The following is a 12275-nucleotide window of genomic DNA, read 5'->3' as shown; positions in this document are numbered from 1 at the left end:
GCAACAGTTCCACTGAACATATTCTTTATTCTGTGTGTTGTGGTTGTTTGTATTTTTTATTTCTTTGGCTTGGTGGCCCTACACATCCACAGGGCATTCTAGTATTGACTACTGACAAAAGTCTCGTCAAATAATAAACGTTATCATACTTCTAAACTATTTGCGGGGGAGGGGTGGAGGATAACAGGTTTTTATTCAATTACGAACCGGCTTACATAACCCCTTCCCTCCAAAACAATGTATGTAACTTTATTTTCACATGGTCATAAGAAACAGTAAACTTTCCTATTTCTTATTTTTCATAGCAACATTCATAGACATTTGAAATTTGAAGTATATTGAAGACATACTTGGAAACTTGCTAGAAATAAAAAAAATCAATAAGATAAGGGGGCAGGTGATTTTATAATGATAAAGGTCTGATTTTAAAAGTGGCATAAAATAATCAGAGTAAATAGCATTTACTGAGAACTTCTTGTTAGACACCTATGACAAAAAAAGAATCAAACGGCTTTAGTCATTTCCTCTCTACTGGGTTATTTCCATCAACATTCCGTAATATCTCCCACCTTAAAAAGGAATCCTTTGTGCCTTTTGCTTTAAGGTACCTTCTTTACCTCTCCTTCCCATCTATAGAAAAACATCTTAAAAGCATCCATACTCGCCATCTTCACTTTCTTTCCTTCTATTTTAGTCTTTCTTCACCTCCACGCCACTGAAAATACATTCTTCAAGGCCATCAATTCTTTTTTTTTTTTTTTTTTTCAATAGAGACAGGGCTTAGCTATGTTGCCCAGGCTAGTCTTGAACTCCTGGGCTCAAACAACCCTCCTGCCTCCTCCCAGAGTGTTGGGATTACAGGCATGAGCCCTGTGTCTGGACATCATTTCTTCAGCTGGAGTGCAGTGGCACAATCATAGCTCACTGCAACCTCCAACTCCTGGGCTCAAGAAATCTACCTACCTCAGCCTCCCAAGTAGCTGGGACTATGGGTGCACACCACCATACCTGGATAATTAAATTTATTTATTTTTTGTAGAGATGGGGGTCTCACTGTGTTGGCCAGGCTGGTCTTGAATTCCAGGCCTCAAGTCTTCTTCTTGCCTCCGCTTCCCAAAGTGCTAGGATTATAGATGTGAGCAACTGTGCCCAGCCAAGTTAATTAATTCTTATTGAATCTAGTAGTCTATTCTCACTCCTTAACTTATTGTACCTTTCTTGGAGCAGCATTTGATAATAATTGATCAAACTCTATTTCTTGAAATGCTTTTTTCTTTTGGCTTCAGCAACATTACACACTTTTTTTTCCCTCCTCATAACTGACCACTTCCTTTTTGGTCTCCTTTTCTACCTTTTTCTTCTCTTCTTGGCTGCTAATTGTTTAAATGACCTAAAGATTGATCTTCACTGAAATTTAAGGTTTCTTTATTATTGTAGCATAGATCTTTGAGTTCTGTGGATCTAGAGATTCTGCTTTCCAAAGGAGAACATTTCCACTAGGGGCGCATCAAGAGTCCAGTTGAACCATGAGCCAAAATAAACCACTTTTCTTTATAAATCACCTAGTCTCAGGTATTCTTTTCTAGCAACACAAAAACATACTAACACACATGGCATTTTATGAGGTCAACAATCAATCTATATATATAAATGTTTGTTTGTTTTTTAAGAGACAGGGTCTCCCTCTGTTGCCCAGGCTGGAGTGCAGTGGTACAATTATAGCTCACTGCAGCCTCCAACTCCTGGGCTCAAGGGTTTATCCTGCTTCAGCCTCCCAAGTAGCTGGGATTACAGGTGTGAGCCACTGCATCTGAATTCATATTTGTGTTAAAAATGAATGAATGACACAGAAACAGGCTTCTGTATGTCACAGGAAAATATGTATGTGGCATGGATTTGAAAATAGGGATTTTGGAGTTAGACTGTTCTGGAATAGAGACTTATCTCTATTTTTAACAAGAGCTTTGTGAAATGATGTTGGGCAAATTTATTAACCACTCCAAGCTTCATTTTCCTTATAAAATTTATACGGAAAGTTATAAAATGGAAAAGATAATAACACCAATTTCATAAGATTGCTATAATAATTAAAATAATACTCATAATGGACATGTTATCATTAAATATTGGTCTCATTTGCTGCAACCTACCAGGCAGCAGACAGAATGCTGAAGACTTTTACTTGTAATTCTCATTCAGTCCTCCAAATAAATCTGACAAGTTGATGGCAATTCCATGAAGATTAAACAACAACAACAACAAAGTTAGACTCACAGAATTTATTTAATTCATGTGATGATACAGTGTGTTAGTCCGGATAGTTTATGCCAAGCTGCAGGAACGAACCAACCCTAAAATTTCAGTGGATTAACTAATAAAGGATTGTTCCCAACACACACAAAGTATGCTGTAGGTCCCGTGGTTCTTCTGAGTACCTTCGATCCAACTTTTCTTCAGGGATCCAAGGCTGCTGGGTCTTGAATCTAGAACATCTTGAACACATGGTTCTAGTTCACTGCAACAGGCAATGAGTGACCTGGAGAATTGTGTTTGGCTTTTAAGTATATTAGTCAACTGACATAACAGCATTTGTAAAACCATAGCACTGGCCAGAACTAGTCATATGGCTCTGCCTAATTTTAAGGAAGCTGCAAAATGTGGGAGAACCTAAACCTGTTTAGTGAATAGTAAATATTTCTGCCACATCTGGCTGGTAGACTGGATTCAAAATGGCAGTATATATGCTTCATATCCTCCAAAGCTATGTTTGCCAAATAAAATATATGATGCCCAGTTAAATTTTAATTTCAAATGAACGATGAATAGCTTGAGTATGAGTATATCCCATGCAATGTTTGGAGCATATTCAGAGTAAAAAATTAAGTGTTATCAGAAATTCAAACTTTTATTTGCTAAATCTAACAACTTTACCCAAGGGCCATATGTTTCAGACATGACTAAAACCTGTTGCTAATATGAAGTGAAGAATTATTCCCCCTACCTAAAGGTATTTACAATCATATTTTAAAATTTCCAGCTAATAGGAGCACATCTGCAGATTAAACTTTGCTAGCCACTTGCCAATTCAGCTCACTATATTATAGGGGTTTTTTAAAAGCCCTAAAATTAAAAAAAAAAAAAAAAGACTTGGATCTCCGTAACCTCCATCACCAACTGAGAATATGGCTAGCCTTCTGTAACTTACTTAGGTTGCCTAAGTTGCCTCTTTCTTTATTTGTAAAATTTGACTTGAAAAACACCAAGGGTAGCTTGTCCCTCATTAAATCTATTTTCTTATGATTCTATTGTGTTACGTCATAGTATTGTGTCAGGATATTAGTAAAAACATACCACAAATAACACTTCTGAGTATTCTGTCTCTCAAAGTAACCTCCCCAGGTGAGGTTATTCTGATGATAATATTGTAGCTTAAATTGTTTTTAGAAAATATAGCAGCATATTCTTTTGAGTATCCTCCTCTGGTGGCAAATTATTTTTCCACAAAGGTAGACTTGATTTTTGGAACCAAATAGAAGTTATTCAAAGTCAAGTCAATGAATGGTCAAACTGAAAAATAAATGTACATTATGGAATAAAAACTAGGTGAGTTTATCAGATAAATGAAATTGATTTATTTTTGAGACTCTTTAATGCTCCATTTAAAAGCAGTTAGTTTTAAGGCAAGTTTAAAAATGAGTTTTGAGCAATGATCACATTGCTGGAATAAGTGCATTGCTTCCACTTTTGAAGGAACTCACACTCAATGGGTAATGAGCTCTGTAAGTTGATTACAAAAAGTAACCCTCTATCAAGAAACCAGTGATTGATTGCTATTCATGATAAAGTATTGAAAATACAATTCCACATGATTTATTACCTAAATGCTCTTGAAAATGACTTTTATCCTGGAACAAAGCTCCTTTTTGGTGAACTTTTCAACTATGTTTAATAAAAGAAATACTCCATACTGGTGGTTTTCTACCTCCCAACAAAATACATACATACGTACGTATGTATAAAGCTTTTCTGATCTTATTCATGAAATCATTTTTTAAAAGTTCACAAATCCATACATCAAAGATTATGTGACAAATGAAGAAAGTGGAATAAAAAGTTTTTTTTTTTTCATGGAAATGTTCATTGGTCAAAATTGAAGATTAACTTTTTACACCAAAATGCAAAGATTTGAAAAATGAAACATATTTCTAGAGAGAAACAAGACAGACATAAGCAAATAGATCAAAACACAAGTTTGGCCATTTTTCTGGACATAGACCAATAAAGTATGTTTTATTGAAACAGCTACTGATAGTACTTAAGATTATCAAGGGCACCTCTGAGTGGTCCCTACCATTGTTTTTCTCATTTCTCCCTAACTCCAACTTTCTCTTTGCTTTCCTTTTTTTATTTTATGGGGTGCACCTATGTTACTGCACGGTGTCTATGCATGCACACACAACACACACATATGTATTGTGTGGTGTCTATGCATGCACACACAACACACATATACGTTATTGCATGGTGTCTATGCATGAAGACACAATACACACATGTGTTTAAGAACATTAAAAATTCAAAGTCATTTTGGAGCACAATTCTGAAATACTTATCTTAAAATGTTTAAATTTTACATACCATGAACTAACCATTCTAATTTTAGGAATTTATCTTCATAAAACTGTAGTGGACTGAATTGTGTTCCCCTAAAAGACATGTCCATGTTCCAACCCCAGGAATTTGTGAATGTTACTTTATAAGGAACAAGGGTCTTTGAAGAAGATATAATTAAGGATCTTGGGATGATGAGATCATCCTTGATTATCTGCGTGGGTCCTAAACCCAATGACAACTGTCCTTATAAGACAGAGGCAGTGGGAGAACACACAGACAAATGAGCAGGAAGCAATGAACAGGGAGGAAATGCATCCACAAGTCAAGGAATGCCAACAGCCATCAGAAGCTTGAAAATCCAAGGAACATTATCTTTACTTGAGTCCCTGGATTAGTGTGGCCCTCCTAGATTTCAGATTTATAGCCTCCAGAGCTGTGAGAAAATAAATTTCTATTGTTTCTACCCACCAAATTTGTGGTACTTTGTTACAACAGCCTCAGGAAGCTAATACAGAAATTATCCATAAAATTAATAAATATGATCAGTATAATTTTATTTATAATAGCAAAAGTAAAAGTGTCTACAATAGAGAAAGCATTAAAAAGTATACTATAGATATGACAGAATATAAATCCTGTAGCAAAATAATATAAAATAATATATTCAACATATATAAAATGAAAAAATAGTTTGCTAAACAGCCTGCAAAGTGTAATTCCATTTGTTTAAAAAGATATATTGGAAGGGTTAATATCCAGGATACATAAAGAACTTCTACAACTCAACAACAACAACAAAATAGCCTGATTAAAAAATGGGCAAAGGACTTGGACAGACATTTCTCCAAAGATGATATACAGTGCTCACTTTGGCAGCACATATACCAAAGATGATATAAAAATGACCAACAAGCATATGAAAAGATGTTCAATATCACTAATCATCAGAGAAACACCAATTAAAACCACAATAAGACATCACCTCACACCCATTTGGATGTCTACCATCCAAAAAAAAAAAAATACCCAGAAAATAATAAATATTGACAAGGATGTGAAGAAATCGGAACCTCTGTGCACTGTCTGTAATAATGTAAGATGATATGGTCACCATGGAAACAATACGGCAGTTCCTCAAAAAATTAAAAATAAAATTATAGTATAATGCAGTGATTTCATTTTTTGATGTATTTCCAAAAGAATTCAAAGCTGGATCTGAAAGAGATAGGTGCACACCCATGTTAATTGCAGCATTATTCACAATAGCCAAGAGATGGAAGAAACCCATTGTTCATTGATAGATGAATGGATAAGCAAATTGTGGTATACACGCAATGGAATATTATTCAGCCTTAAAAAAAGGAAAGAGGTTCTGACACATACTACAACATGGATGAACCTTGGGGACATTCTGCTAAATGAAATAAGCTAGTAACAACATCACAAATACTGTATGATTCCACTATCTAAAATAGTCAATTCATAGAAACAAAAAGTAGAATGGTGGTTGCCAGAAGCTGAGGGGAGGGAGAAATGGATTGTTACTGTCTAATGGGTAGAGTTTCAGTTCTGCAAGATGAAAAGTTCTGAATATGTGTTACACAACAATATGAATATATTGAACACTATTGGAATGTACACTGAAAAATAGTTTTTGAAATTTACTAAATTGTACATTTTAAATATGTGCAGTTTATTATATCAATTATACCTCAATAAAGCTGTTTAAAAATATGCTGATGGCTGGGCACAGTAGCTCATGGCTATAATCCCAGCATTTTAGAGGGCCATGGCAGGAGGATTACTTGAGCTCCGGAGTTCAAGATCAGCATGGGCAACATAGCAGGACCCCATCTCTACAAAAATATATTTTTTAAAATTAGCCAGGCATGGTGGTGCACACCTGTAGTCCCAGCTTTTTGTGGGGCTGAGGTAGAATGACTCCAGCCCAGGAGGTTGAGGCTGCAGTGAGCCAAAACTGTGTCACTGTACTCTAGCCTGGGCAACAGAGCGAGACCCTGTCTCAAAAAAATTATATACACATATATATGTAATTGTAACCCTAGCAATTGATTAAGAATAAAAACTTCAAAGTCAGACTGCTTGGCCTCAAATTCTAGCTCTACCATCTACTAGTGTTATGACCTTGGATACATTATTTAACTTTGTTTCTTGGCTTTCTCCTCTGTAAAAATAGTGTTTATAACAGTAATACCTAGATGAGCTAGTATTCATAACACAAGGTCTGGTCATAGTTTGTGCTAAATAAATGCAATGATCTATCTCACTCTTGATGTATCTCTACAAATACAGATGGCCACTGACTTACAATGATTCAACTTATGATTTTTTGACTTTACAATGGGTTTATTGGGATATTAGTTGCATTTTTGATTTATGATATTTTTGACTTATGATGGCTTTATCAGAACATACCTCTATTGTAAGTTGGTATTAGTGATTATCTCTAAGTGGCTGTTCCACCAGAGACTTTAATTATGATCTTTTCAGCTTATCTTTTTATTACATACGTGTGTGATTTTTATAATAAAAGCTATGCAAATTTTTTATACATACAAAATACATCAGATGATCTATCTAGCATAGAATTTTGTCTCTCGGTGATACTAACGAAAGACTATTTGAGCAAACATGGGCCATTTGTTATATTTCAGAAGTCCTTCTAATATTATTAGTACTATTATTGAAAAAGAGAAAGATATTACATTTGTATGAGGAAAACAGAGTTTACAAAAACAGACTGCAACTGTTGTTATGGTTATTAATCTCCTGAAAATTATGGTTGATAATCTCCTGAAATTTTATAGTAATGTCATTAACTATTAGACTCACTTTCTAACTATGTGTAAACAATAGATTGGGTGATGGAATAAGTATTTCACAGAGATGCCTTATTGATCCATTATTTTTGTAACAACGGAAAGAGCCATGGTAGATTTGGTGTTGATCCTGTTTTTCCCTCCAGACAGAGCCAGCTCTGGCCTGCTCTATCTCTCATTACTGTGATGACGGCTGTATCCAGATGCTAAACACTCCAGAGACACTCCAATGCAGTGCTAAAGACTCAAAACACTTCATCCCCAAAGAATGTAGCATTCCAGGAGAAAACAGGCCTCCTTCTGACACTGGTAAAACTGTGAAGGTGTGTGATAAATCAGGGATCAAAATGAGAGGCCACAGATTCTCTGCCCCTTACAGTGAATCCTGCTCTTCTCTTTTCAATGGAGTAACAGTCATATTTAAAAAAAAAAAAAAAAGTTTGTACAGACACACTAATGGAAACAATGACAAAATATATTCAAACATAAAGTGTTACAATAGCTAGAGGCTGTTCTAGATGGGAATCAAAGAATAAATAGCTGGAGATGTAACTAAGGATAAAAACATATGAAACGTCTTGGGCTATTTGAGGGGATTAGTTTTGAGAGGGTGGGCAGGAATAGTTTGTCCTTGGGGCAATGGTTGCTTCCATTTTCTTTCCTTCTGTTTTTCCTTGTTTTTCTTCCTTCTTTTCTCCCTCCCTTTCTCCTTCCAGCTCCCACCCTTCCTTCCTTCTTTCCTCTCTTTCTTTTTACAGAAATTTTCATTTCTTCACTGCCACAAAACAAAGACAACAGGGTGTTCAAAGTACCATTTACTTGACTCATCAACCTCCTAAAGTAATATAAATTTTTTAAAATGTAAAATAATAAATGTTATCTATATCCAAGAAAAAAAATAGTGGCCAAAAATTCTTGGCTATAAATTAGAATTCTTTTTTCACTAACAAAATCAAGTGTTTTAATCAAAAGTATGTACAAGATTGTTTCTAAAATGACCACTGCCGAAGTTTGCTAACAAAAATGCAAAACAATCTGCTTCAGTACAACAGAAATATATAAATTATGGCCACAAATGTTAATTAAAAATTTCAAAACAATAAGTTTACTTGTTTTGTTAAAGCATTATGTAATTCCTAGCATTTTTTGTTTCTTTTTGCTTTTTAATGAGGTGTCATTTATGTAAAGTACACAAGTGTACATCTTGATAAATCTTTCCATAGTCTACAGCCATGTAACCGCCAACCAGATCAAGATAGAGAACCCCTCAAAGACAATGTTTCCAAGTTTAAGTGTGTAAGACTCTCCTGAGGATGTTGTTAAAAATCTAGATTCCTAGGTCACAATCCCAGAGGTTCAATATCGGTGGGTCTAGGGTAGGGTCCCTGAGACCGATTATTTAATAAGCACTTCCACTTAGAGAAACTCTGCCCTAGAAAGAAACCTAACTTAACTCAATGGCTCTAGAAGTTCTATTACTCTCTACTTTAAAGATAATTTATTGGGAAACCTAGGTGCTTTCCTACCAAGGAAGAATATATATGACATTTGCTATCCCTGTGTAATTTTAACTTTTAGCATTGTTTTTTCTTTCTTTGAGCCAGAGTTTCCCAAATGAAGTTTCCACCAGTCCATAGAAAAATGAAAATTAATAAGACCATATTTTTCATAAAGTTATTTATTCATAAAGTTAGATGTATCTAAAGGATTGTCATTTATTTTCAGATTATGTTCTTCCTACCTTCAGGACTTTCAAATGCTCTTTGCTTTACAAAATAATTCTAACAGTAAAATAGTATGGCCTTTTTTTCTTATTAATTCTGATAAATTAAGAGATAGAAACGCTATATTGTTCAACTTTGAAAAATCTGAGCTATCAAGCCTTCAGGTCTGCTCCTGAAATTTGAACCGATTGCCACCAGGGGAAGTAGAGTACTACAGCCTGTGTGATTTCAACTGTAGAGGCATTTTTTTCTGCCAGAGCATGTCAAATTTAACTGCAGATTTTCTACTACAGTCTTCTGTCACTTAACAATGAGGAGATGAGATATGTTCTGAGAAATGTGTCCTTAGGCTAGTTCATCACTGTGCTAACATCAGTGTGTACTCACACAAACCTAGATGGTATAGCCTACCACACACTTATGCTAGATGGTATAGCCTATTGCTCCTAGGCTACAAACCCACACAGCATGTTACTGTACTGAATACTGCAGGCAGTTGTAACACAATGGTAAGTATCTGTGTATCTAAACATAGAAAAAGTACAGTAAAAATATGTACTATAATCTTAGGAGACCATGATATAGTATATGTGGGTTTGTCACTGACCAAACCATCATTATGTGGTATATGACTGTACTCCAAAAAACAACCTTAGCTTCTTTTCTGTATATATAAGCAACATATGGTCTCTGTAAAAAACTTTCAAAGAATGGGAAAAATTAAATCAAACCATCAAACCATTGTTAATGTGTTTATTTTTTTCCATTTAATTTTAGTCTTTTTCTATGTACAATTTTTTAAACAAGTCAGGAATGAAATGAAGGTAGAAAGATAGATAGATTCATTACCACCTGATATTTTTCTTCAGCAGTTTCCAATGTCATTAAAATCCTTTCAATGTAGTTTTGTCTGTATAGTGTTCTATCTCATGAATGCATCATAATTTATTTATTTATTTATTTTTATTTTTTTGAGACAGTCTCATTCTGGCACCTAGGCTGGAGTACAATGGTGCAATCTTGGTTCACTGCAACCTCTGCCTTCCAGGTTCAAGTGATTCTCATGCCTCACCCTCCTGAGTAGCTGAAATTACAGATGTGCACCACCATGGCCGGCTAATTTTTTTTTTTTTTTTGTATTTTTAGTAGAGACAGGGTTTCGTCATGTTGGCCAGGCTGATCTCAAACTCCTGGCCTCAAGTGATCCATCCACCACCTTGGCCTCCCAAGGTGCTGGTATTACAGGTGTGAGCCACCATGCTCAGCCTCATAATTTATTTTATTAACAACCTTTTACAATTTTTAAATTTAGAGGTTATTTCCACTTTGAAAAGAGGTCAGGAGTTCCAGACCAACCTGGCCAACATGGTGAAACCCTGTCTCTACTAAAAATACAAAAATTAGCTGGGCATGGTGGTGGGTGACTGTAATCCCAGCTACTCAGGAGGCTGAGGCAGGAGAATCGCTTGAACTCAAGAGGCAGAGGTTGCAGTGAGCTGAGATTGCACCACTGCACTCCAGCCTGGGTGGCAAGAGCAAAACTCCGTGTCAAAAAAAAAAAAAGATGTAGGCTGGGTGTGGTGGCTCATGGTTGTAGTCCCAGAACTTTGGGAGACTAAGGTGGGAGGATCACTTGAGCCCAAGAGTTTGAGACCAGCCTGGGCAGTAAAGTGAGACCCCATCTCTCTCTATATATATATTTTAAAAGTAAATAACACTACAGGGAATATTTTTGTACTCACTTAAAGATAATATTTTGAATATATCTTTAAGATAGATTCTTTTTTAAAGGAAACTGATACAAGGGATATAAGGATTTTTAAGGCTTTTTATATATTGTGATTCAACGACCTATTGCTGTATAATAAAATTTCTACAACTCTGTGGCTTTAGAATCACAGCCTTCATGCTGTTCTAAGGGAGTGGTAATAAAGAAAAAAAATAACAGCCATATATTATGTCACTGCATGATGTTGACTGGGGTCACTCATGCAGCTGCATTCGGCTGAAGGCTCAACCGAGGCTGGTTGTCTAAGATGACTTCACTCATATATCTGGCATCTTAGCTGGTATATTAGTCAGTTGTTGCACTGCTGTAAATAAATACCTGAGACTGGGTAATTTTACAAAGAAAAGAGTTGGCCCACAGTTCTGCAGGCTGTACAGGAAGCATAGCAGCTTTGGCTTCTAAGGAGACCTCAGGAAACTTACAATCATGGCAGAAAGTGAAGAGAAAGCTGGTACTTCACATGGCTGAGAGCAGGAGGAAGGTGGCAGGGGAGGTGCTACCCACTTTTAACAACCAGATCTCATGAGAACTCACTTACTATTCAGTATCAAGGGGGTAATGGTGCAAAACTGTTCATGAGAACTCTGCCCCCATAATCCAATCACCTCCCACCAGGCCCCACCTCCTACACTGGGGATTACAATTCAACATGAGACTTAGGAAGGGACACAGATCCAACCCACATCAGCTGGGATGGTTGGAAGAGCTGGGAGATGACTTGGCCTCACTCTGCATAGACTGTCATAATTCAGTAGTCTAGCCTGAACTTATCTATAGGGCAGCTGGATTCCATGAAAATAAACTTAGAAGCTGCTAGGCTTCTGAAGACCCAGACCTAGAAGTCAAAGCAAGTCATGGGGCCAGCCCATATTTAGGGGGAAGAGAAGTAGACTCTACTTTTTAATGAAGAAGCTACAGATTCACATTGCAGAAGGAGACTGAGGTAAGAAGAATTGTTGTGGTCATCTTTTGGAACTAATCAACCATATATCACCATATTAGTATTTTATATAACACTAATTTACAATAAAAAAGTGTATGCAACATATACTTCCATCAGATTGCCATGAATTAAAAAGTGTCAGCAAGGATATACAGCAACAATAACTCTTATATACTCCTGAGAAGAGTGTAATCTTGAATGCCCACTTTAGAGAGCAGTTTGGTATTAACTGCCAAAGTTCATAGGTATATACCTGAAAAAATGGGTGCATGGGTAGACTAGAATATTTGTAGAAGGTTCATAGCAGCATCATTCATAGCTCAGTATAGCCCAAAACTAGAAACCCTAAACTTCATCGAGTCTAA

General features: G+C 36.0%; 1 long non-coding RNA gene across 3 annotated transcripts in view; it reads left to right on the top strand.

Annotated features, from left to right (window-relative positions):
• The window catches only part of LOC105375704 (uncharacterized), a 177474-nt gene extending 167450 nt beyond the window's left edge, over window positions 1–10024 (top strand). For all 3 annotated transcript variants that reach the window (XR_928530.4, XR_928529.3, XR_928528.3), the window contains exon 3: window positions 7601–10024. This is a non-coding gene — a long non-coding RNA (uncharacterized LOC105375704). The remainder of the gene's footprint in view (window positions 1–7600) is intronic.
• Window positions 10025–12275: the final 2251 nt, after the last annotated feature.

This window comes from Homo sapiens, chromosome 8, assembly GCF_000001405.40.
Source record: "Homo sapiens chromosome 8, GRCh38.p14 Primary Assembly".
In the NCBI taxonomy this organism is placed as follows: Eukaryota; Metazoa; Chordata; class Mammalia; order Primates; family Hominidae; genus Homo; species Homo sapiens.
The sequence above is the reverse complement of the archived record's forward strand: the minus strand, read 5'-3'. Positions and strand labels throughout refer to the sequence as shown.